Source organism: Homo sapiens, chromosome 4 (assembly GCF_000001405.40).
Source record: "Homo sapiens chromosome 4, GRCh38.p14 Primary Assembly".
NCBI classification, from domain to species: domain Eukaryota; kingdom Metazoa; phylum Chordata; class Mammalia; order Primates; family Hominidae; genus Homo; species Homo sapiens.
In genome coordinates, this window is record NC_000004.12 from 67,458,064 (window position 1) to 67,483,573 (window position 25,510).

The 25,510-nt window shown below is 38.8% G+C and overlaps 1 protein-coding gene across 4 annotated transcripts in view, besides 1 other annotated feature; it reads right to left on the bottom strand.

Annotated features, from left to right (window-relative positions):
* Nucleotides 1-10,698: 10,698 nt before the first annotated feature.
* The window catches only part of CENPC (centromere protein C), a 76,742-nt gene continuing 61,930 nt past the window's right edge, over nt 10,699-25,510 (bottom strand). For 3 of the 4 annotated variants that reach the window (NR_155754.2, NM_001362481.2, NM_001812.4), the window contains exons 18-19: nt 16,825-16,915; nt 10,699-14,612 (exon numbers count right to left, since the gene is read on the bottom strand). Coding sequence is in view for 3 of the 4 variants with exons in the window: in NM_001362481.2 (NP_001349410.1) it covers nt 14,542-14,612; nt 16,825-16,915 (162 nt within the window). In the remaining variant the exon portion in view is untranslated. The remainder of the gene's footprint in view (nt 14,613-16,824; nt 16,916-25,510) is intronic. The other variant, XM_047449526.1, reaches the window with a different exon arrangement.
* Nucleotides 20,474-20,975: an enhancer, noted in NCBI's record as "NANOG hESC enhancer chr4:68344255-68344756 (GRCh37/hg19 assembly coordinates)". NCBI's record gives its function as "activates a minimal SCP1, AML or CMV promoter by ChIP-STARR-seq in primed H9 embryonic stem cells {active_cell/tissue: H9 hESC(primed)}" and the evidence as "EXISTENCE:reporter gene assay evidence [ECO:0000049][PMID:30033119]".

Genomic DNA, 25,510 nt, shown 5'->3' on the forward strand with positions numbered 1-25,510 from the left:
CAGTTGAAGATTTGAATAAAACAAAATGACTAACCTCCAAGTAAGAGAATTCTTTCACCCAGATGGCCTCTGAACTGGAACATCAGCTTTCTTCTTGCCTTCAGACTCAAACTAAACCACTGGCTCTTCCTGGGACTCACCCCTGCCACCCTTTGGACTGGAACACCACCATCTCCTAGGTCTCTAGTTTGCCAATTCACTCTGTAGATAATGGGACTTGCCAGCATCCACAATCACATGAATCAATCCCTTATAATAAATATCTCTCTCTCTCTCTCTCTCTCTGTATACACACACACACACACACACACACACACACACACACCCTTTGTTGGTTCTATTTCTCTGGAGGGCCCTAACATTGAAAGGTTGCAAGATACAAGCTTAATATGCAAAAGTCAACTGATTTCCTTTATCAATAACAGCATAAATAACTGAAATTTGAAACTAAAAACACAATACTATTTACATTCACACCAAAAAAAAAACTTAGGTATGAATTTAACAAAAATTAGATAGTATCTATGCAGAAAACAACAAAACTCTAAGAAATTAAAGGAGATATAAATAAGTGGAGAGCTATTCCATGTTGATGCATTAGAAGATTTAAGATAGTTAAGATGTACATTCTTCTCAAATTCATCTATAGATTCAGTTCGACCTTAATATAAACTGCGGACTTTAGTTAACATATCAGTAATGGTTCATTATCAAATATACCACACTAATGTAAGATGTTAAAATAAAGGAAACTGTATGTGGGGTGGGAGGAGAGATATATGAGAACTTTCTGTGCTATTTGCTCAATTTTTATGGAAATCTAAAACTGTTATATAAAATCTATTTTTTAAAAAAGGCCATTCTATGGCTTCTAGAAAAAATGAAGTAGACATACTTTTCCCTATTCCCTCCACTAAGTACAGCTAAGAATTCTGCACCGTATATACAAAACATGAAAAGACTCTGAAAAGTGGAAAGAAAACAGAAGAACCAGGAACCTTGGGATCTGAGGAATGATATGACAGTGAGTTTCACAGATTTTCTGTTTTGCCTCATTTATCCTAAACTTGGCACTATAGAAGCAGGTTTCAAATTTCCAGATACTAGACACAGCAACAGGCCCACATTTTTTAGAAAGTTCCAAAACAGCCTGCTCTTTCTAGCCATAGGATCAGGAAAGTGGCAGAACTGCTCAACTCGAGTCAAACAGCATAGAGAAAAAACAGCTCTATCCCCATTCCCATCACATAATGTTGAGTCTAGACTTCCACCTTAGCCAGCTGTAACAAGACACTCCTCTTACCCTCCAGGGGTGATGCTGGGGAAAGCTGAACTGGGATTCATGATTCATGATTTTAAGCCCAGCAGAAAGAGTGCCCTCCTTTTCCTTCATTGTCGGGGGTGGGAGGGGCGAGGGGGGAGATCAGGTGGAGAAACCTAACTTCCACTCATAACCAGGAAGTAGTGAGACACCTCTCCCCCTTTATGCTGTGGTGACTTTAGTGAAGGCTAAGTGGACAGAAAGGACTTTTATCACCCTACAAGCCACATGGAGAATACTAACAAGGCACCCCTGTGCCTCTGGGTAGTTAGTAGTGGAGGCCTAATTGGGAGCCTCAATTCTGAAACCCATCTAGCAGCCCTCTTACACCTAAAGGGTAAATGGAGGCTGAGTAGAGAGCCTCCCATCTTGTAGCACGAAGGAAGCAACCCCTTTCCCTGACTGCACAATGTCAGGTATGTAAGAAGAGGTGTCAGAGTACTGCTAAACAGATTGAAATAAAATCCAAATGTAATAACAAAATATCCAAAATGTTCAGATTCAAATGAAAATCACTCCTCATACCAAGAAACAGAAAAGTCTAAAATTGAATGAGAAAAGATAATCAACAGACACCAATGTCAGGAAGATACAGATTATAGAATCTAACAAATATTTTAAAATAATCATCATAAAAATGTTCCAAGGAACAATTACAAATTGAATTGAAACAAAAAATAGAAAGTTTCACAAGTGAAAAATGCAGTGTCCCAACCAAAAGACACCAATGTCAGGATGATATAGATTATAGAATCTAACAAATATTTTAAAGTAACCATCATAAAAATGTTATGAGGAACAATTACAAAATGAATTGAAACAAAAATTAGAAAGGTTCAGCAACTGAAAAATACAATGTCCCAATCAATTAATGGACTCAACAGCAGAATGGAAGGAACAGAGGAAGAAAATAGTGAACCTGAATACAGATCAATAGAAATTACTCAATATGCCGGGCACAGTGGCTCATGCCTGTAATCCCAGCACTTTGGGAGGCCGAGGCAGGCGGATCACAAGGTCAAGAGATTGAGACCATCCTGCCAACATGGGGAAACCCCGTCTCTATTAAAAATACAAAAATTAGCTGGGCGTGGTGGCACGTGCCTGTAGTCCCACCTACTCCCAGCTACTTGGGAGGCTGAGGCAGAGAATCGCCTGAACCTAGGAGGCAGAGGTTGAAGTGAGCCGAGACCCTGCCGAGGCAGAGGTTGAAGTGACCTGAGATCCTGCCACTGTGCTCCAGCCTGGCAACAGAGCAAGACTCCATCCATCTCAAAAAAAAAAAAAAAAGAAATTACTCAATATGAACAACAGATGGAAAACAGACTGAAAATAAATACAGCATCTCAGTAATCTGTGGGAATTTAACAACAAAAAAATCTAACATTTGTGTCATCAGATCCTAGAGGGAGAAAAGAAAGAGAGTGGGCTTGAAAAGTATTTGATGAAATAATGGCTAAAATATTCCCAAACTTAGCAAGATACATAAACCTACAAACTCAAGAAGCTGAACAAACACCAAACAGGATAAACCCAAAAAGTTCACATCGAGACAATTATAAAAAAACTTCTGAAAACCAAAGATAAATTAAAAATCTTGAGAGGCACAAGAGAGAAATGTCTCAAGTCCAGGGGAAATATTCAAACGGCAGTGCATTTCTCATCAGGAATGATGGAGGCCAGAATGAAGTGTCCCAGCGTTTCTAAATAAGTGATAGAAAAGAACTGTTAACTTAGAATTCTATATCTAGTGCAATATCTTTCAAAAATGAAGGGAAATAAAGACATTCTCAGATGAAAAAAAAAATTGTCACCAGCAGACCTATCAATAAAAGAATGGCTAATAAAATTCTTGAAATAAAAAAAAACTCTTGAAACATCAAGAAGAACAAGGAACTACAAAGTGAGTAAGTATATGGGTAAATACAACAGATTTTCTTTTTCCACTTGCCTTTTATAAACTATGATTTACAGCAAAAATTCTAATACTGGTATGGTTCTCAATTTATATAGAAGAAATATTTAAAAATCAGTTATATTATACATAAAGGCAGGCAAAGGGATGTAGATGATGCTAAGATTTCTATACGCAAATATGTAAAGTGGTAACTCGTGTATGTATGTATAATAAATACTTTATTCTAGGTATTAAAATACTATATAAGCAGATAAACTAAAAATGCTACAGATAAATTAATTCTACAAAATGTTAAGCAAGCCACTAGAAGGGTGAAAAAAGACGAAACAACAGGGAACAAACTGAAAAATTAAAATAGCAGACAATAGCCCTTCCATATGAATAAATGCATTAGAAGTGAGCAGTCTAAATTTCCCAATTAAATGACAAAGATTTGGTGAGGTGTATTAAAACAAAACAAAAACAACCAACTGGGCACAGTGTCTCATGCTTATAATTCCCGGACTTTGAAAGGCTGAGGTAAGCAGATCACTTGAGGCCGGGAGTTCAAAACAAGCCTGGGTAACAAAGCAAGATCCTATCTCTATTATAATTAAAAACAATTTATTTTAAAAAACCACCCAGATCCAACAATATACTGTCTATAAGAAATTACCTTCAAATATACCAATGTGGGTAAATTGAAAGACAAAGAATGGGAAAAGATATCATTCATATATTAATTAAAAGAAAGAAAGGGTGGTTATATTAGTATGAGATAAAGCAGACTTCAAAGAAAATTACCAGCAACAAAGAGGGACATTATATAATGTAAACATTATATGATAGAAACTTAAAAAATTTATCTAAATCCTGCTCCTTCTGCAAGAAACTCTTGATACACTAGTAATAGTGGGAAACTTCCTCACCTTGATAAAGAATAATAATAAATAATAAAAAAGGATAAATAAATTAAAAAGGAGCCAAGAAGACAGGGCAATCCCAAGCACGTATGTACCAAACAAATGAACTGTAAAATACATGAAGCAAGCAATGATAGAACTGAAAGGAGAAATAGACAAATCCACAATTGTTGGAGACTTCACACTCCTCAATCTCAATAACTGATAGAACAACTAGGAAAAAAATCAGCAAGTATATACATGAACTCAACAACACCATTAACAAACAGGATCTACATGACATTTTTAGCAAATTCCACACAATAAAAGCAGAATACACATTTTCTTCAAGTACCCACAAACATATACAAAAATAGGCAGTATCTTGGGTCATAAAACAAACCTCAGCACATTTAAAATAATTACTATCATACACTGTATTCTCTGAATACAGTAGGATCAAACTAGAAAACAGTAATAAAACATAACAGAAAAACTTTTTTTTAAATCTTGGAAACTAAACAATGCACTACTATAGAATCCTTGGTTGAAGAAATCTCAAGGGAAGTAAAAGATATATACATTGACCTGAATGAAAATGAAAATACAACATAAAAATTTGAGACACATATAAAGCAGTGCTGAGAGGGAAATTTATAGTACTAAATGCATACATTAAAAAAGAGTAAGAGTCTCAAGTCAATAGTCTAAGCTGCTATCTCAATAACTTAGAAAAAGAAGACCAAAATAAACTCAAAAATAGCAGAAAATGGAAGAAACAAGAGCAGAAATCAATGAAATTGAAAACAAAAGAGAGGAGAAAATCACTGAACAATAATAAGCTGGGTCTTTAAAAAGATCAATAATATTGACAAACCTCTAGCAAAACTGGCAAGGATGAGAGAAGGCACCAATTACCAACACCAAGAACAAAACAGAGAATATCACTATAGACTCTGCAGAAAACAAAACAAACAACAACAAAAAAAACAAGAAAATATTACAAACATATCTATACACATAAGAAAAACCACATGATCATATCCACAGATGCAAAAAAAGCATTCAACAAGATTCAACACTCACTTGTTATTTAAAAAATTAGTCCTCAACTTGACAAAGAACATCTAAAAAAAACCTATGGCTAACATCAGGTGAAGACTAGATGTTTTCCCCCTATAATTAGGAAAAAGGGTAAGGACGTCTATTTTCACCACTGTTATTCAACATAAAACTGGAAGTTCTAATAGTGAAAAGCATTCAGATAGGACAGAAAGAAAATCGGCTTTATTTGCAGATGACATGGTGGTCTAAGTAGAAAATCTTTAAAAACAAATCTTTGAAAAACAAAAAACTTCTAGAACTTGTAGTGACTCTAGCAAGTTTTCAGGATGCAAAAACTGACATACAAAACTCAACTGAGAGCCTGGAGAGGTGGCATACATATGTAGCTCTAGCTACTCAGGACACAGGATACCACAAGTTCAAGGCTATTGTGCACTATAGTCACACCTGTGACTAGCCACTGCACTCTAGCCTGGGTGATATAGCAAGACCCCATCTCAAAAAAATTGTATTTATATACTCTAGCAATTAACCTGTGTAAGCTAAAAATTGTATTAAAAATACAATATCAAAGAAGTCAAACAAAAGAGGCTGTATAATCCAATGTTATGACATTCCAGAAAAGGCACAACCTTGGAGACTAAAAAGATCAGAGGTGAGGGAGATGGGAGGTATAAATAAGAGGAGCATAGAGAATTTTAAGGCAGTGAAACTTTTCTCTACAATACTATAATAATGGATACATGTTATTATACATTTATCAAAACCCACAGAATACCCAACACCAACTGAAAACCCTAATGTAAACTGTAAACTGTGGGTAATAATGATGTGTCAATGTAGGTTCATCAACTGTAACAGATGTGCCACTGTGGTTCATGGTGTTGACAGCAGGAGAGGTGCATGTGCAGGGGCAAGCAGTGTACAGGAGCTCTCAGTACTCTCTGCTCCATTTTGCTGTGAACATAAACCTGCTTTAATAAATAAAGCCTATTTTTAAAATATGCAAGACATTCTGTGTGTTCCACAAAATCTAAGATATTTATTTACCTTCTAGCCCTTTACGGGAAAACGTTGCCTACCCTGACCTTGTTACAAAGTTTCTGATTTCCTTTAATAAAGCTGTTTCCAGACTACTACTTTTATTCCTTCTCTGAAGCTTCAATTTACAATCTCAGAACTTCCTGAAGCTATTGTAATTTAATCTAGTGCATATCATGAAAGTTACATGTAAAAATCAGTAGAATATATTCCGGTATCAGAGAGATAAGATACTTTTTAATGTAAAATCTTAAAAGACTAGGAAAGGCAAAATGCTGAAGAAATAAATCACAGAACACATACTATAGAAAAATTACCATTTATAATTCCTCAAAAAATATATCTAAATCTAACAATACATGTACATGACTTTTATACTGAAAATACACAATACTAATGAAAGAAATCAAAGATCTAAATAGATGGAGAAACATACCATCATATCAAGTTCATGGATTAGAAGACTTCAAGATAGCAAAAATGTCAATTTTTCCCCAAAATGATACACAAATTTAACATAACTCATCAAAATCACAGAAGGATTCTTTGTACATAATGACAAAATTATCCAAATTTACATGAAAAGGCAAAGGAATCAGAATACCTAAAACAATTCTGAGAAAAAACAAAATGGGTGGACCACTATACCCAATTTCAAGTCATACATAATCAAGACAGTGTTGTATTGGCAGAGAGGTAGACACATAGATCAACAGAGAATCTGAGCACAGACTGCCTGGAATCTAGCTAGCTGCTGCTAATGAAACACTGCGGGTATGATACCCACCTTGCCAAGTGCAAAGGAGCTGGGTAGGTTTACTACCACCTGCTACTCCCCATTCCCTATGTGAACTCTTTTGTGCAACAGAAGCAGCTGTACTCCTACCTGTAACATCACCCCGGCAGCCAGAAAAGTGCCCGCTGATCGCTACTGGGACCACTGCTTGCCCTACACACAGAAAGTCAGAGTGCACACTTACCTGACCCAGCCTCCACTTGGCTTTGCGCCTCTACCTGCCCTGGTAGCTTAACACAAACAATAGAAACTTTTGGGAGCACTATAGCACTGCCCATTGCCTGAGACACCAGAGTACCTTCCCTGGGTAACATAAAGCAAGCACAAATCTCACCAGTACCACTGCAGCTGGCACTCTTTGGCAAGCACCACCTCCTAGCTGGAGGCCAACCAACACAGTCCATTACAGCACGTCTAGGTAGAATAACACAGTGCCAAGGAAGGGAGAAACCTGTGTGTGACTTCAGCTATCACCATTGCCTGTACCATCCTGGCTAAGCAGGAGGTCCTGAGTCTGTCCATGTGACCAGTTCGTAACTACTGCAACTGGCCTCTGAGAAAGCAAACACACTAAGGCTATTTATAACCAAGGAGTCTCAGAGCCTATGTCACTCCCCTGCCACCCCCACCACAGCTGGCCCTGGGAGCCACTGCTGGAAAATTTGAGGACAGCTCATATCACTGGATTCCTTGCAGACATTCCCCTGCACCAGCCTGGAGTGTGGCAGCCCCACTGGGTGGCTAGCCCCAGCAGAGCATTCACAGTAGTCTGGCTCTCAGGGACTCCCACTACTGAAGGAAAGGGGAGTATACCGTATCAAGGGAGCATCCCGTATGACAAAAGAATCCAGATGGCAGGCCTTGAGTTCCAGAACCTTCATTTGTGGGAAGCACAGGTGCGGTGCTGGGCTTAGCGTAGAAAGTCTGTAGCTCTACTTTGTCAGGCAGCCCTCATGCTCATGAAGGGTCTTAAAGAAAGAGACTTCTAGCCGGGCGCAGTGGCTTATGCCTGTAATCCCACCTCTTTGGGAGGCTGAGTTGGGCAGATCATGAGGTCAGGAATTCGAGACCAGCCTGGCTAATATGATGAAACCCCGTCTCTACTAAAAATATAAAAATTAGCTGGGCATGGTAGCGGGCACCTGTAATCTCAGCTACTCGGGAGGCTGAGGCAGGAGAACTGCTTGAACCCAGGAGGCAGAGGATGCAGTGAGCCAAGATCACGCCACTACACTCTAGCCTGGGCAACAGAGCAGAGACTTCTTTTCCCCCTTAATCTACCACTGCAGACAGAGCTGGGGCTTCTCCCATGGGAGCTTCATGTGGGTGCACCTTTAGACAGCCTTTCTGGAACACGTCAGGGTGACTGCATCCCCACAGGAAGAGTGCCCTCCAGGTTCAGGCTTGCATGTGGGGTAGAGTCACACTCTCTCTCTACTTGGAACACCAACGTTCCTGCAGATGAAGAGGTACCTGTCTGATCTGAATAGCCACAACACTGGGTCAGCAGTGTGACTAGGAGGTGGATCGCATTCCTGATGGCCTGGCAGTGGAACTGAGGAAAAGTCAGAGGGCAGAGTATCTACCTACTTCTTTTCCTTGGGATAGATATGGGCAAGGGTTGAAAAACTGACTATTGGGTGCTCACTACCTGGATGTGCTCGCTACCTAACTGTGCTCCCTACCTGGATGCAATATACTCAAGTAACAAACCTGTACATGTAACCCCGGATCTAAAATAAAATTGAATTTTTAAAAAAATGTTATTTTGCAGCAACGTGAATACAGCTGGAGGCCATTATTCCAAATGAGGTAACTCAGGAATGGAAAACCAAATACCCTATGTTCTCAGTCATGAGCTAAGTGAGAGGGAGCTAAGCTATGAATATGCAAAGGCATACAGAGTGGTATAATGGACTTTGGAGACTCAGAAGGGGGAGGATGAAAAGGGAGTGAGGGATAAAAAACTACATACTGGGTACAATGTACACAACTTGAGTGACAGGTACACTAAAATCTCAGACTTCATCACTATGTAATTCGTCCATGTAACCAAAAACCATTTGTACCCCAAAAGCCACTGAAATAAAATTAAAAAAAATTTTTAAGCCACATACCAAGGATGGCAGAGTCACCCTATTTCGGCCTTTGACTATACACCTCTGAACTGTTTCAATAGAGTAATAAACTTCTATCATATTAAAAAAAATAGACACAGAACTCAGAATAGATCCACACAAATATGCTCAACTGATTTTTGACAAAGGTACAAAAGCAATTCAGTGGAAGAAAGATAGCCCTTTCAACAATTGCTGCAGGTACAATCAGCCATCCACAGCCAAAAAATGAATTTTGACCTAACTCTCTCACCTTATGAAAAAACATTTAATTCAAAATGGATTACAAAACTGAAATGTAAAATGCAAAGCTATAAACTTACAGAAGGAAACAGAAAAAAAAATTTTGGATCTAGAGATTGAAGAGTTTGCAAGACACAGTATGATCTATAAAAGAATAAAAATCAATAAGTTAGACTTCATCAAAATTAAAACCTTTGCTCTTCAAAAGGCCTTGTTATGATGAAGACAAGCACAGACCAGGAGAAAATATGTGCAAACCATAAGTCCAACAAATGATTCATATCAAAAATATATTTTTAAAACTTCCAAAATTCAACATTAAAAAATCCAAACAAAAAATGATCAAAAGAGATGAAAAGGCATTTCACTGAAGAGGACATATGGATAGCAAATAAACATATGAAAAGATGCTTAACATCACTAGTCATTAGAGAAATGCAAATTAAGTTCAAGAGACAATATCCTTACTCACTTATTAGAACAGCTAAAAAAAGTAACAATACCAAATGTTTGGTGAGGGGGCAAAGAAACTAGATACAGCAGTCCGCCTTGGGGGTTAGGTTCCCAAGACCCCCAGTGAATGCCTGAAACCACAGACAGTACTGAACCCTATATATATCTATAGATATAGATATCTTTAGATTTTTTTGTTGGCATACATATAATGGTTTAATTTATAAATTAGACAAAGTATGAGTTAACAATGAAACAGAAAAATTATAATGTGCTATAATAAAAGTTTTGTGAAAATACTTTCTTGTACTGCACTTACCCGTCTTTTTGTGATGACGTGATAAAAGGCCTATGCTGATGGGATGAAGTGAGGTGAATGACACAGGCATTGTGACATAGCGTTAGGCTACTATTGTCAGGAGGATAAACTGCTTCAGGTGATCCTGGATCACAGAACCATGGTGGTATCAATGGTTGAAAGTCAAGAGCAGAAAATATTAATGACTAACGGGCAGGTAGTCTATAGTATAAATATGTTGGACAAAAGGAGGATTCATGTCCCAGGCGGGAGGGCATGGGATTTCATTATGCTATTTGGAACAGCACACAATTTGAAACTTATGGATTATTTCTGGAATTTTCCATTTAACATTTTTGGACCACGATTAACTGTGGGTTAATTGCATTCAAGGAAAGTGAAACCACAGATAAGGGGTTTATGAGACCACTGTGTCTCATAAATTGATTGTGGGAATGTAAAATGGTACAGCCAATCTGGAAAACAGTTTCCTAAAAAATTAAATGTATGCTTCCCATATGGGCATTACTCCGGAGAAACAAGAACTTAAATTTACACAAAAACCTGTAGGAAGTGTTCACTTCATCTTTATTTGTGGTACAGTCATCCATACTAGAGAATACCACTTAGCAATAAAAAAGAAATGAGCTATTGATAGGTATAACTGCTTGGATGATCTTAAGGGCTTTATGCTGAGTGAGAAAAACCAAAGGTCATACACTATATTATTCCATTGCTACAACAATATATAAGTGACAATATTACAGAGATGAAGAACAAATTAGTGATGATGAAACAGTTCTATGTTGATTGCAGTAGTTACACAAATTCACACATATGATGAAATAGAACTATACACATGCATTGTATCCTTGCCAAATTCCTGTTTTCTGCATTGTAGTTACATAGATGTAAGTAACCATTGGAAGAAATTAAAGACACATGCATCCATGTGGTAAGTAAATGGACAACAAACTGTGGAATCCTATCCAACAATAAAAATTAGAAAAATCATTAAAAAAACTCTCATGGGTGATGCCCACGATGGATTAATGGGTATCAAATTTGCCCTCCTCCAACAAACTTTAAAATAGAAAAAGATAAAAGGTAACTCTATGCAGACATTGGACAAAAGTGAAGGACGGTGATTCTTTTGTTTTCTTTTTTTGAGTCAGAGTCTTGCTCGGCTGCCCAGCCTGGAGTGCAGTTGCGTGATCTTGGCTCACTGCAACCATCATCTCCCAGGTTCAAGCAATTCTCCTGCCTCAGCCTCTGAGTAGCTGGGATTACAGGCACCTGCCATCATGCCCGGCTAACTTTTGTATTTTAGTAGAGACGGGGTTTCACCATGTTAGCCAGGCTGGTCTCGAACTCCTGACCTCATGATCCACCCGACTTAGCCTCCCAAAGTGTTGGGATTACAGGCATGAGCCACCATGCCCGGGTAGAAGTCTCTTTCTTTAAGACCCTTCATGAGCATGAGGGCTGCCTGACAAAGTAGGCAGGACTGTGATTCTTTAAAGACATGAAATTAACTCCATAGTCACCCAGTTTTATGCCTGGGGGCACTCTCCAAAACTGGACACAGAGAGTTAAGCTCAAAAAGAACAGTGGTCTTAATGGGCACAGAAAGATCACAATTTAGGGCTGTTGAGAAAACTGAATTGTGATGCAGGGTACAGAAGTGGAAACTCCACTGAAAAAGAGCTCCAGAAATCTGCACGAGGTGCCCAAGAACAGAACTTTCTGCAACTTGTATCTGTGACATCTAATGTGGTAGCCACCAGTACCATGTGCTACTAAGCACTTGAAATGTGGCAAATGCAAGTAAGAAACAATATTTTAAATTAATTTTAAATAGCTACAACTTGTGACTACTGTATCAGCCATTATAGCCCTAGAAGTTGGCTGAACAGTTGGCTGAACAGTAGGCTGCAAATGTGCAGAGCAAAATTCTGAGACATGACAGAAGCCTATGAGCTGAACAGAGTACAGAGGTGGCAAAAATCAGACGTGGCTCTGACCAAGCAGAATGGAGAGCCTTTGCTGAACCATATGGGCTTTCAGTTTAGACAAAGAAAGGCTACACTTAAGCTGGGCACAGTGGCTCACACCTGTAATCCCAACACTTTGGGAGGCTGAGGTGGGTGGATCACCCTGAGGTCAGGAATTCGAGACAGCCCTGGCCAACATGGTGAAAATCTGTCTCTACTAAAAACACAAAAACTAGCCAGGCGTGGTGGCAAGCAACTGTAATCCCAGCTACTCAGGAGGCTGACGCAGGAGAATTGCTTGAACCCGGGAGGTGGAGGTTGCAGTGAGCCGAGATCACACCATCGCACTCCAGCCCAGGCAACAAGAGTGAAACTCTGCCTCAAAAAAAAAAAAAAAGAAAAGAAAAGAAAAAAGAAAATAAAGAAAAAATATTGCTAAAGCTTTGGAAAAGAACTGTTGGAATCTGTGGCCTCCTTGAGTGAGGTCTCACCCACCCCTAGGTTGATTGGTAAAAACTACAGTTTTGTCTGGCTGTAGCTAACTGAAAAACTAGCAACTTTGCCGTAAGAGGAGTCTTGATTTACAGCAGAGGTATAAACCTACAACTTTGTAAGTCAAAAGTAAAAAAATCACTTAGGAATGGACAAGGAGTATCTGTAGTTGCTAACCAAAGGTTACAGTCCTAGTTCTTGAAGAGCAACAGAGCAGCCAGACATTTAACAAGGTCCTGGAAACAGAAGGGCAGAAAAGGGTAACATGAGCTCTCCAAACATCTTTGGCAAACTGAAATGATGCATGCACAGGGGAGACTCAAGAGAGCATGGCAAATGTAAAAACCAAGGGGAATTTGGGAACTGCCTCCTACAATGAATGCATCCCCCATCCCACACAGAACAACCAACAGTGGGTGGAAGGCTTATAGACTCAAGTGTTTGATCTTAACCTTTGTCCAAATGATTGGCTGACTGCTAAGCTATGCAGACACAGGAACTACCCCTAGCAAGCAAGAATAAATATTGAAATAAAGAACTTAAAAACTGAGCACAGACAGCAATAACTTCACATCATATATAAGATAGATTCCACAATTTGAGTCCAGTCAAAATGCTAAATTTAAAACAATACAAATCCCTTAGATATAAAACAAAATTGAGTTGCTACAATATGCTACCTAAAATGTCCAGCTGTCAACCAAAAATTATTAGACATGTAAAAACATATGAAAGTGAAATATACTAAAGGAAAAAAAGCATTCAGTGAAAACTAAATCTGTATGGGCCCAGATACTTGATTAGTCAAGCCTTCAATAAGACTTCATAACAAATATATTCAAAGAAATAAAAGTAAAAAAAAAATTAAAAATGACTCAATAAAAGAGAAATCACAATAGAAAATTATAAAGTATAAAAAAAGAGCCATCACACTTCATTCTTCCTAAGTCCTACACCAGAGTTGCTTTAAATGTGTGTATTTAATGGTTAAATAAGACCTGAAAAGGGAGTTGGCCTAAAAATATTTTTACCGTAAAACATCAATTTCTTCAGAGTTAATGAGAATTATATGCTAACCATACCAAAAACCTTGATTAGAATTTTTAGCTTAGATGTATTGATTGATATTAAAAAGGGAAAGTTGAGGCCACATACAGAAAGCAATGGCGAAGGACACTGCCTCCAACAGAAAATATGAACCAAAAAGCATAATGGAAAAACATTTACATGTAATATACTAAATAGATGTCATGCCAACACAGACACACAAGGTGAGAATACCATGTGATAATGCAAGTAGATTGAAATGCTACCGGTGCAAGCCAAGGAATGCCAGAAATTGCCAGTAAACCACCAGAAGTTAGGAATAAGGAAGGATTCTCTCCCTTACAGGTTTTCAAAGACATCACGGCCTTGACAACACCTTGATTTCAGACTTCTAGCCTCTAGAACTGAGATAATAAATTTCTGTTGCTTTAAGTCACTCATTTTGTGGTATTTTGTTACAGCAGTTCTAGGAAATTAATACAAACATGCCTTTTACCACAGTTCTCTCCCATTGGATTATTTAATAATAAATGATTTAAAATTAGTATTTGGAAAAGATGTTTTTTAATGAGTAGACATATTAATCAGGTCTCTTTTGACACAGAAATGTTCTATATTTCATTTTCATATTCTTGTCAAATTATAAAAATAATATCATAAATATGGACATCGCTACAAGCTATTATGTACAGTCACTGAAAAATCAGAAAAAACATGTGAGTTAGAAATGTTTATCAAATACAAGTCTACAGAAAACTGAATAAAATTTTTATTTTAAAACATCACAAGTAATTACAAAGACAAATATTCCAACTATACAAACTGTTTTTCACATATACATATATACATACATATATTTAAGGTTGGTTGATCTTTCATCTTTTTATCTGAGTAAAAAGAAGAACACTTTCCTCATTCCGGAGATTTTTGATGTTATAATAGTTACCTAAAAGTAAAGTGATAAGAAAATAAAAATTATTTACATATGAATCATTCTTTTTGATTAAGTATGTAGTCATCACCTGACAGTTGTAGTATAGGACACAAGATAAAAACAATTCACCTAACCTAAAGTAACTTATTTAATTCCATGAACTACATCAACAGCTAACCATGACACGTGATCCAGATGAGGCTTGAGAGAACAGAAATATAAATTTCACATCGTTATGAAAATAAATACGGAGATGAATCAGTCGAGAGTGTAAGAAAAGAAAATCTCTTTCTGAAACCAATCTTTATTAGGTCTACAGAACTGCTGTGGATTCCTCTAACCAGACATACTCATATATAGATGAATATAAAAGGTACAATGTTAAGTAGAATAAAATCTCAAAATTTTATTTATTTACTTATTTTTTGTTTTTGTTTTTTCTTTTTCTGGAGAACGGGGTCTCGCTATATTGCCCAGGCAGGTCTCGAACTCCTGGGCTCAAGCTATCCTCCCGCCTCTTGCCTCCCTGAGAGCTGGGATTACAGGCATGAGCCACCGCGCCCGGCCAAAATCTCAAAATTTTAAAAAGGCAAATGCTACTCTTAAATAAATGAGGTAACAAATAACAGCAAAAGTGAAATACAGATGGACCGCAAGTATCACATGTGACAGGCTTATTAGAATTGAGTACTATCACTGTGACTTTCTATATATTAGAAATTGAGAAAGTATTCACAACAGTGCTGACATACTAAGGATTATGCAAGTATGGCTATTATTATTGTCTCCTTCCAACAGAATGTAAGCTCTATAAAAGCAGGGATTTTTGCCTGTTTTTTCATTTATATATCCCAAATCTTGCAGCAATACATGGACATAGTAGACACTTTGTTTTGTTTTTGTTTTTGAGACAGAGTCTTGCTCTGTCACCCAGGCTGGAGTGCAGTAGTACAATCACAGCTCACCGCAACTTTGAACTCCTGGGCTCATGCAGTCCTCCTGTCCCAGCCTCCCGAGAGCTAGGACTATAGGTGTGTATCACCGTGCCTGGTTAACTTTTGCATTTTTTGTAGACACAGGGTCTTCCTAGGTTGCCCAGGCTGGTCCCGAACTCCTCACCTCAAGCCCTCCTCAGCCTCTCAAAATGTTGGGATTACAGGTGTGAGCCACTGCACCTGGCCCATAGTAGTCTCTTAATCATACTTGTTGAATGAGTGAATGAATGACAAGTGGATTAAAATGCCTATTTACAATAACTTCTGCTGTTCGATAGCTGATGAAGCATACCATTCTTGAAACAGTTTAAAATAATGTTCTAAAAACATAATTTCTTAGAGATAACATGGGGTAAATAATTTTTGTTCTCCTCTGTAATACAACATATCTGCTGACTATATACATAAATGTATTTTTTTTTTTGAGACCGAGTCTCACTCTGTCCCCTAGGCTGGAGTGCAGTGGTGCAGTCTCTGGTCACTGCAAGCTCCACCTCCCAGGTTCATGCCATTCTCCTGCCTCAGCCTCCAGAGTAGCTGGGACCACAGGTGTCCGCCACCACGCCCAGCTAATTTTTTTGTATTTTTAGTAGAGATGGGGTTTCACTGTGTTAGCCAGGATGGTCTCGATCTCCTGTCCTTGTGATTTGCCCACTTTGGCCTCCTAAAGTGCTGGTATTACAGGCATGAGCCACCATGCCCAGCCAATATTTTCATATTCAGTAGTAAACAACTCTTGTTCTCATGTATCAAAACACTAATTGGTTGGGCACTGTGGCTCACACCTGTAATCATAGCACTTTGGAGGCCAAGGTGGGCAGATCACTTGAGGTCAGGTGATCTGTTACGGCTAACATAGCAAAATCCCGCCTCTACTAAAAATACAAAAAGTAGCCGGATGTGGTGGTTCGTGCCTGTAGTCCCAGCTACTCGAGAGTCTGAGGCACAAGAATCGCTTGAACCCAGGAGGTGGAGGCTACAGTGAGCTGAGATCGTGCCACTGCACTCCAGCCTGGGTGACAGAGCAAGACTCTGTCTCAAAAACAAAAAAAAACCACCACAAAATGCTAATACACTTACCTAATGATCAAATGAAAGGAAAATATGTACCAAACTGTTCTGACATCCATCAGTCATATCACACTTCATTTTGACCACTGTGGCTTCCATTTCCATAGTGCCCAAAAACAACTATATACATGTTGTCTAAGTGAAATAAATTGTCTTACCTGAAGGAACATAGAACGAATCCCCAGTACTTAATATATAAGGTGTTTCATGTAAAGTACACAAAAGGTCACCAAAGTTAACATAAAAAACCTGTAAAAATAAAAATAAAAATCTCATTCAAAACTGAACCATGATAATACTTCAAAGGAACCTTAAAATGTAGTGGGAAGAATAACGACTCCCCACAAATGTGCTGGCTTTAATCTCCAGAACTTGTAAATACATTAAATTTCATGGCAAAAGGGACCTTGAGATGGGGAGATTATCTTTGATAATGTAGGTAGGCCCAATCTAATCACATTAAGCCCTTAAAAATAGAGTACTTTCTCCTGCTGGAAGCAGAGAAGAAACGAAAGAGAAGGAACAGTCACAGAAATTTGAAGCATGAAAGGGACTTGCACCGTTGCTGGCACTAAAGATGTGGGGCCATATGCCAAGAAACATGAGTTATTTCTAAAATCTAAGAATGACACCCTGGCCAACAGCCAGTGAGGAAATGGGAACCTCAGTCCCACAACCACTTAAAACTGAGTTCTGCCAACAGTCTGAACGAGACTGGAAGCAGACTGGAAGCAGATTCGTCCTTACAGCCTCCAGAAAGAAATACAAACCTGTCAACATCTTGATTCCAGTCTTGTAATACTCTAAAGAGAATACCTGGTCAAGCTCATGGTTCTCTCTACATAACTGTGAGATAGATAATACAAGAGTATTGTTTCTTGTTTTTTGAGATGGAGTCTCACTCTGTCATCCAGGCTGGAGTACAGTGAGGCGATCTCGGCTCACTGCAAGCTCCGCCTCCAGGGTTCATGCCATTCTCCAGCCTCAGCCTCCTGAGTAGCTGGGACTACAGGCGCCCGCCATCGCGCCTGGCTAATTTTTTTTTGTATTTTTAGTAGAGACGGGGTTTCACCATGGTCTCGATCTCCTGACCTGGTGATCTGCCCGCCTCGGCCTCCCAAAGTGCTGGGATTACAGGTGTGAGCCACCGCGCCCAGCCCAAGAGTATTAAGCCATTAAATTTGTGATACAGTCATGCACTGCCTAACGATGTTTCAGTCAACAGCAAACTGCCTACATGATAGTGGTCCTATAAGGTTACAATGGCATTTAAAAAATCGTATTGCCTAGTGACCTCACAGCCATCATGATGTCCCAGTGAAAAGCATTACTCACATGTTTGTGGTGATGCTGATGTAAATAAATCTACTGAACTGCCAGTCACATAAAAGTATAGCACATACAGGAAAAAGTGGAGGATAGAAAGTAGGACTAACTTGCAGCTCCCACTCAGATGGACAGAACAGCATGTGGAAACTCACATCATGAACTTTTTTGCCAGAAGAACTACTGCAGGAACATACCAAGAAAACTGAAAGAATTCACAGACTCTTTGAAAGAAATGGCTTGCTGCTGCAAACTCCATGAGACAGCTGAACAACCGTGAGTGCCCAAAGTGTGAAAGGGGGGAAAGTCTGCCTCCAAACACATCCTTACTGGGGAAGCTGAAAATCCAGGTCATGAGAGAAGGATTTAACCTTACCTAGAGCTGAAACGAATTGAGAGAGCCAAGGGAAATATAATAGTAGAAGCAGAGGCAGGAAGAGCCCTGTTAAGTACTCCTGGTTTCCAAGGAAACCCAAGGAAGCCATTTCTGACTTTATCTCATAGGGTTCCTTGGGGATGGCTGCCAGTGGAACTGGGGGAGGACCACAGAAAGAAGGAAACTTCCAGCTGAACTTTAAATAATTTTGATGAAGCGTGAATTTTCCTGGGCAGAATTGGGGGAAGGGCGAATAGGAAGTTCAGATACAAGCCAGGGTAGGCAGCAAGGGGCAGGGCCTGAAAGCCCAGCTTGCTTTCTCAGCAGGGAGACTTATAGCCTAGCGCAAAATGTCAGTCCTGCTCACTGGCTGTCTGGATACAAACTTGGTTTGGTGGGGCACAGTAGGAGTGAGACTGGCCTAGCCTGGCTGCTTGGGAGCTGGGTGAGGCCAGTCTGCCAGCTTCCCCCACTTCCTTGGTGACCAGTATGATGCACTAGAGACAGCCATAATCCCCTTGGGAACATAACTCCAGTGGCCTGGGAACCATATTTTCATCCCCTACAGTGGTCACAAAAAGCTCAGCCCAAGGAGAGTCTGAGCTCAGACACACCTAATCAATCCTACCTGCACCTGATGGTCTTTCTCTAACTGCCCTGTAGCCTAAGACAGGAGCTATAAGGCCCCACCCATCACCTGAGAAACCTGAATACTTACCCAGGCAACCTGTGGCAACCTTGTATCAGCAGATGCTCTCTTGAAAGTACCATCTCCTGGCTGGTGGCCAGCCACCTGCTAGCACAACCAATATTAAAGAAAACCAGCACACTAAACAAAACTACAACCAAAGACCGTCACAGAGTCTGCTTCACTCCCCTGCTACCTCCACTGGAGCAGCTGCTGAGATCCATGGCTGAGAGACCTGAAGACAGATCATATCACAAGACGCTTTGCAGGCACTTCCCAGTACCAGCCTGGAGCCCCATAGCTCTGCTGGGTAGCTAGACACAGAAGAGCAATAGCAATCACTGCAGACTGCCTCTCAGGAAGCATAATCCCTAGGGGAAGGAGGAGAGCACCACATCAAGGGATCACTCCATGGAACAAATGAATCTGAACTGCAGTGCTTGACCTCCAGATGTCTCCTCTGACACAGTCTACCCAAATGAGAAGAAACCAGAAAAACAATTCTGGTAATGTGATAAAGCAAGGTTCTTTAACACCCCCAAAAGATCATACTCGCTCCCTAGCAATAGATCCAAACAAATAAATCTCTGAATTGCCAGAAAAATAATTCAGAAGGTTGATTATTACATTACTCAAGGAGGCACCAGAGAAAGATGAAAACCAACTTAAAGAATTTTTTTTTAAAAATACAGGATTTTGATGAAAAAATCTCGAGAGAAATAGATAGCATAAATAAAAAACAATCACAACTTCCAGAAATGAAAGGCATACTTAGAGAAATGCAAAATACATTAGAAAGTTTTAACAATAGAATCGAACGAGTAGAAGAACTTCAGAGCTCAAAAACAAGGCTTTTGAATTAACCCAATCAAAGACAAAGAGAAAATAAATTAAAAAAAAAAATGAACAAAGCCTTGAAGAAGTTTGGGATTATGTTAAACGACCACACATAAGAATAATTGGTGTTCCTGAGGAAGAAGAGAAATCTAAAAGTTTGGAAAAATTTGAGGAAATAATCAAGGATAACTTCCCTGGCCTTGCTAGCAATCTAGACATCCAAATACAAGAAGTTCAAAGAGCACCTGGAAAATTCATCGCAAAAAGATCATCACCTAGCCACACAGTCATTAGGTTATCTAAAGTCAAGACAAAGCAAAGAATCTTAAGAGCTGTGAGGCCAAAGCATCAGGCAACCTATTTAAAAAAAACCTATCAGATTAACAGCAGATTTCTCAGCAGAAACCCTACAAGCTAGATGGGACTGAGGTCCTATCTTTATCCTCCTTAAATAAAACAATTATCAGCCAAGAATTTTAGTATCCAGCAAAACTAAGCTTCATAAATGAAAGAAAGATAAAGTCTTTTTCAGACAAACAAATGGCGAGAGAAATCCCCACTAACAAGCCAGCACTACAACAACTGCTAAAAGGAGTTCTAAATCTTGAAACAAAAACTCAAAATATATCAAAATAGAACCTCCTTAAAGGATAAATCTCCCAGGGTCTATAAAACACACACACACACACACACACACACACACACACACACCCAAAGTATTCAGGCAACAACTAGCACAATGAACAGAACAGTACCTCACATCTCAATACTAACATTGAATATAAATGACTTCAATGCTCCACTTAAAAGATACAGAACGGCAGAATGCATAAGCATTCACCAACAAAGTACCTGCTGTCCTCAAAAGACTCACTTAACACATAAGGATTCACATAAGCTTAGGGTAAAGAAGTAGTAAAAGATATTCCATGCAAATGGATACCAAAAGAGAGCAGGAGTAGCTATTCTTATATCAGACAAAACAGACTTTAAAGCAACAGCAGTTAAAAAGACAAAGAAGGCCATTATGTAATAAGAAATGGACTAGTCCAACAGGAAAATATCACAATCCTAAATATATATGCACCTAACACCAGAGCTCCCAAATTTATAAGACAATTACTACTAGGCCTAAGAAACGAGATAGACGGCAACACACTTATACTCAAGGTCTTCAATACCCCACTGACAGCAGTAAACAGGTCATCAAGACAGAAAGTCAACAAAGAAACAATGGATTTAAACTATACACTGGAACAAATGGACTTAATAGATATTTACAGAACATTCTACCCAAAAACTGCAGAATATACATTCTATTCATCAGCTCATGGAACATTTTCCAAGATAGACTGTATGAGAGGCCACAAATCAAGTCTCAATAAATTTAAGAAAACCAAAATTATATCAAGTACTCTCTCAGACCACAGTCGAATAAAATTGGAAGTCAACTCCAAAATGAACCCTCAAAACCAAGCAAATAGATGGAAATTAAATAATCTCCTCCTGAATGATTGTTGGGTCAACAATGAAATAAAGATGAAAATTGAAAAATTCTTTGAACTGAACAATAATAGTGACACAATCTATCAAAACCTCTAAGATACAGCAAAAGCAGTGCTAACAGGAAAGTTAATAGCATTAAATGCCTCCATCAAAAAGTCTGAAAGAACACAAATACACAATCTAAGGTCACACCTCAAGGAGCTAGAGAAATAAAAACAAACAAAACCTAAACCCAGCAGATGAAGATCAGGCCATTTGGTAGAACTAAATGAAAATATAATCAGAATTGATAGACCATTAGTGAGGTTAACAAAGAAGACAGAAGATCCAAATAAACTGAATTAGAAACAAAATGGGAGATATTACAACCAATACCACAGAAAGACAAAAGATCATTCAAGGCTCGTATGAACACCTTTATGTATACAAACCAGACCTAGATGAGACAGATAAATTCCTGGAAATATACAACTCCCTAGATTAAACCAGGAAGAAATAGAAACTCTGAAAAGACCAATAACAAGCAATGAGATTGAAACGGTAATAAAAGAATTGTCAACAACAAAAAAAGTCCAGGCCGGGTATAGTGGCTGATGCCTGTAATCCCAACACTTTGGGAGGCTGAGGCAGGTGGATTGCCTGGGGTCAGGAGTTCAAAACCAGGCTGGCCAACATGGCAAAACCCCGTCTCTACTAAAAATACAAAATTAGCCAGAATTGGTGGCGCATGCCTGTAATCCCAGCTACTTGGGAGGCTGAGGCAGGAGAATCACTTGAACCTGGGAGATGGAGGTTACAGTGAGCTGAAATCGCACCATTGCACTCCAGCCTGGGCAACAAGAGCAAAACCCCGTCTCAAAAAGGAAGAAAAGAAAAAGAAAAAAAAAATTCCAGGACCAGATGGATTCACAGCTGAATTCTATCAGACATTCAATTTATCTATCAGAAAAGAGACAAATTCTTGGAAATACACAACCTTCTTAGATTAAACCAAGAAGAAATAGAAACTCTAAATAGACCAATAATAAGCAGCAAGATTGAAAAGGTAATAAAAGAATTGTCAACAACAACAAAAAAGTCCAGGACCAGATGGATTCACAGCTGAATTCTATCAGACATTCAAAGAAGAATTGGTACCAATCCAACTGAAATGATTCCAAAAGACAGAGAGGAGTCAATACGCAAGTCAATAAATGTGAAATACCACATAAACAGAATTAAAACCAAAAAATCACATGATCAGCTCAATAGATGCAGAAAAAGCATTTGCCAAAATCCGGCATTGCTTTATGATTAAAACCCTCAGCAAAATCGGCATAGAAGGAGCATAACTCAAGGTAATAAAAGCCATTTATGACTAACCTACAGCCAGCATCATACTGAACAAGGAAAAGTTGAAAAGTTTCTCCTGAGAACTGAAAGAGGACAAGGATGCCCACTTTCACCACTTCTATTCAACATAGTACTGGAAGTCCTGGCCAGAGCAATCGGACAAAGGAAAGAAATAAAGGGTATCCAAACTAGAAAAGAGGAAGTCAAACTGTTGCTGTTTGCCAATGATATGATCATATAGCTAGAAAACCCTAGACTCATCCAAAAAGTTCCTAGATCTGATAAGTGAATTCAGTAAACTTTCAGGATACAAAATCAACGTACACAAATCAATAGCTCTGCTATACACCAGCAGCGACCAAGCTGAGAAACAAATCAAGAACTCAACTCCTTTTACAATAGCCACAAATAATAATAATAATTTGGAATATACCTAACCAAAGAGATGAGAAATCATAGACGACATAAACAAATGAAAACACATCCCATGCTCATGGATGGGTAGAACCAGTATTGTGAAAATGACATACTGCCAAAAGCAATCTACAAATTCAATGCAATTCCCATCAAAATACTATCATCATTCTTCAAAGAACTAGAAAAAGCAATCCTAAAATTCATTATGGAACCAAAAAAGGGCCTGCATAGCCAAAGGGAAGACTAAGCAAAAAGAACAAATCTGGAGGCATCACATTACCTGACTTCAAACTATACTATAAACATATAGTTACCAAAACAGCACAGTACTGAAATGAACATAGGCACATAGACCATGGAACTGAATAGAGCCTAGAAGTAAAGCCAAATACTTACAGCCAACTGATCTTCAACAAAGCAAACAAAAACACTAAGTAGGGAAGGGACACCCTATTCAACAAATGGTGCTGGGATAACCAGTAAGGCACAAGTAGAAAAATAAAACTGGATCCTCATCTGCCACCTTATACCAAAATCAACTCAAGATGGATCAAAGACTTGAAACTAAGACCTGAAGCCATGAAAATTCTAAAAGATAACATCAGAAAAACCCTTCCAGACATTGGCTTAGGCAAAGACTTCATGACCAAGAATCCAAAAGCAAACACAACAAAAACAAAATAGATGGGACCTAATTAAACTAAAAAGCTTCTGCACAGCCAAAGAAATAATTGGCAGAGTAAACAGGCAACGGCAGAGTAAACAGACAACCCAGAGTGAAAGAAAATATTCACAAACTGTCTGTGCAACAATGGAATAATATCCAGAATCTACATGGAACTCAAACAAATCAGCAAGATAAAACCAAACAATCTCATCAAAAAGTGGGCTAAGGACATGAATAGACAATTCTCAAAAGAAGATATACAAATGGCCAAGAAGCACACAAAAAAAATGCTCAACAATAACTAATGATAAGGAAAATGCAAATCGAAACCACAATGAGATACCACCTCATTCCTGCAAGAATGGCCATAATCAACAAATAGTAGATGTTGGCCTAGATGCAGTGAAAAGGGAACAATTTTACACTAATGGTGGGAATGTAAACTAGTACAGCCGCTACAGAAAACCTTAGTAGAGCTAAAAGTAGATCTACCATTTGATCCAGCAATCCCACTACTGGGTACCTACTCAGAAGAAAAGTGAGTCATTATATGAAAAAGACACTTGCACACGTACATTTATAGCAGCATAATGTGCAACTGCAGAAATACGGAACCAACCCAAATGCCTATTAATCAACAAGTAGATAATGTGGTATACATGTACCATAGAATAGTACTCAACCATAAAAAGGAATGAAATAATGGATGGTATTTGCAGCAACCTGCATGGAGTTGGAGACCATCATTCTAATAAAGTAACCCAGGAATGGAAAACCAAACATTGTATGTTCTCACTTATAAGTGGGAGCTAAGCTATGAGGATGCAAAGGCATAAGAATGATACAATGGACTTTGAGGACTCAGGGGGAAGGGTGGGAGGAGGAGAGGTATAAAAGACTACACGGTGGGTACAGTGTTCACTGTTCAGGTGATAGGTGCACCAAAATCTCAGAAATCACCACTAAATAAATAATCTCTTGTAATATGGTTTGGCTTTGTCTCCCCACCCAAATGTCACCTTGAATTGTAGCTGCCATAATCCCCACATGTCATGGGAGGGACCTAGTGGGAGGTAGTTGAATCATGGGGGCAGTTACCCTCATGCTGTTCTCATGAGAGTGAGTTCTCACAAGATCTGATGGTTTTATAAGGGGCTTTTCCCCCTCGCTTGGCAATTCTCCTTGCTGCCACCATGTGAAAAAGGACATGTTTGCTTCCCCTTCTGCCATAATTGTAAGTTTCCTGAGGCACCCCCAGCCCCACAGAACTGTGAGTCAATTAAACCTCTTTCCTTTCAAAATTACCCAGTCTTGGGCAGTTCTTTATAGGAGTATGAGAAGGGACTAATACATCCTGTAATCCCAGCTACTTGAGAGGCTGAGGCACGAGAATTGCTTGAACCCGGGAGGCAGAGGCTGCAGTGGGCTGATATCGTGCCACTCCAGCCTGGGGACAGTGGGAGACTCTATCTCAATGAAAGAAAAAAAAAAATTATCTATGTAACCAAACACTACTTGTTCTCCAAAACCTATTGAAGTAAAAAATAAAATATAACACAATTTTGTGTGGTACAAAACACTTGGTAATGATAATAAACAACTATGCCACTGGCTTATGTATTTACTATACTTTTATCCATTACCTTAGAGTGTACTCTTACCACTTATATAAAAAAAAAAAAAGTTAACTGTGAA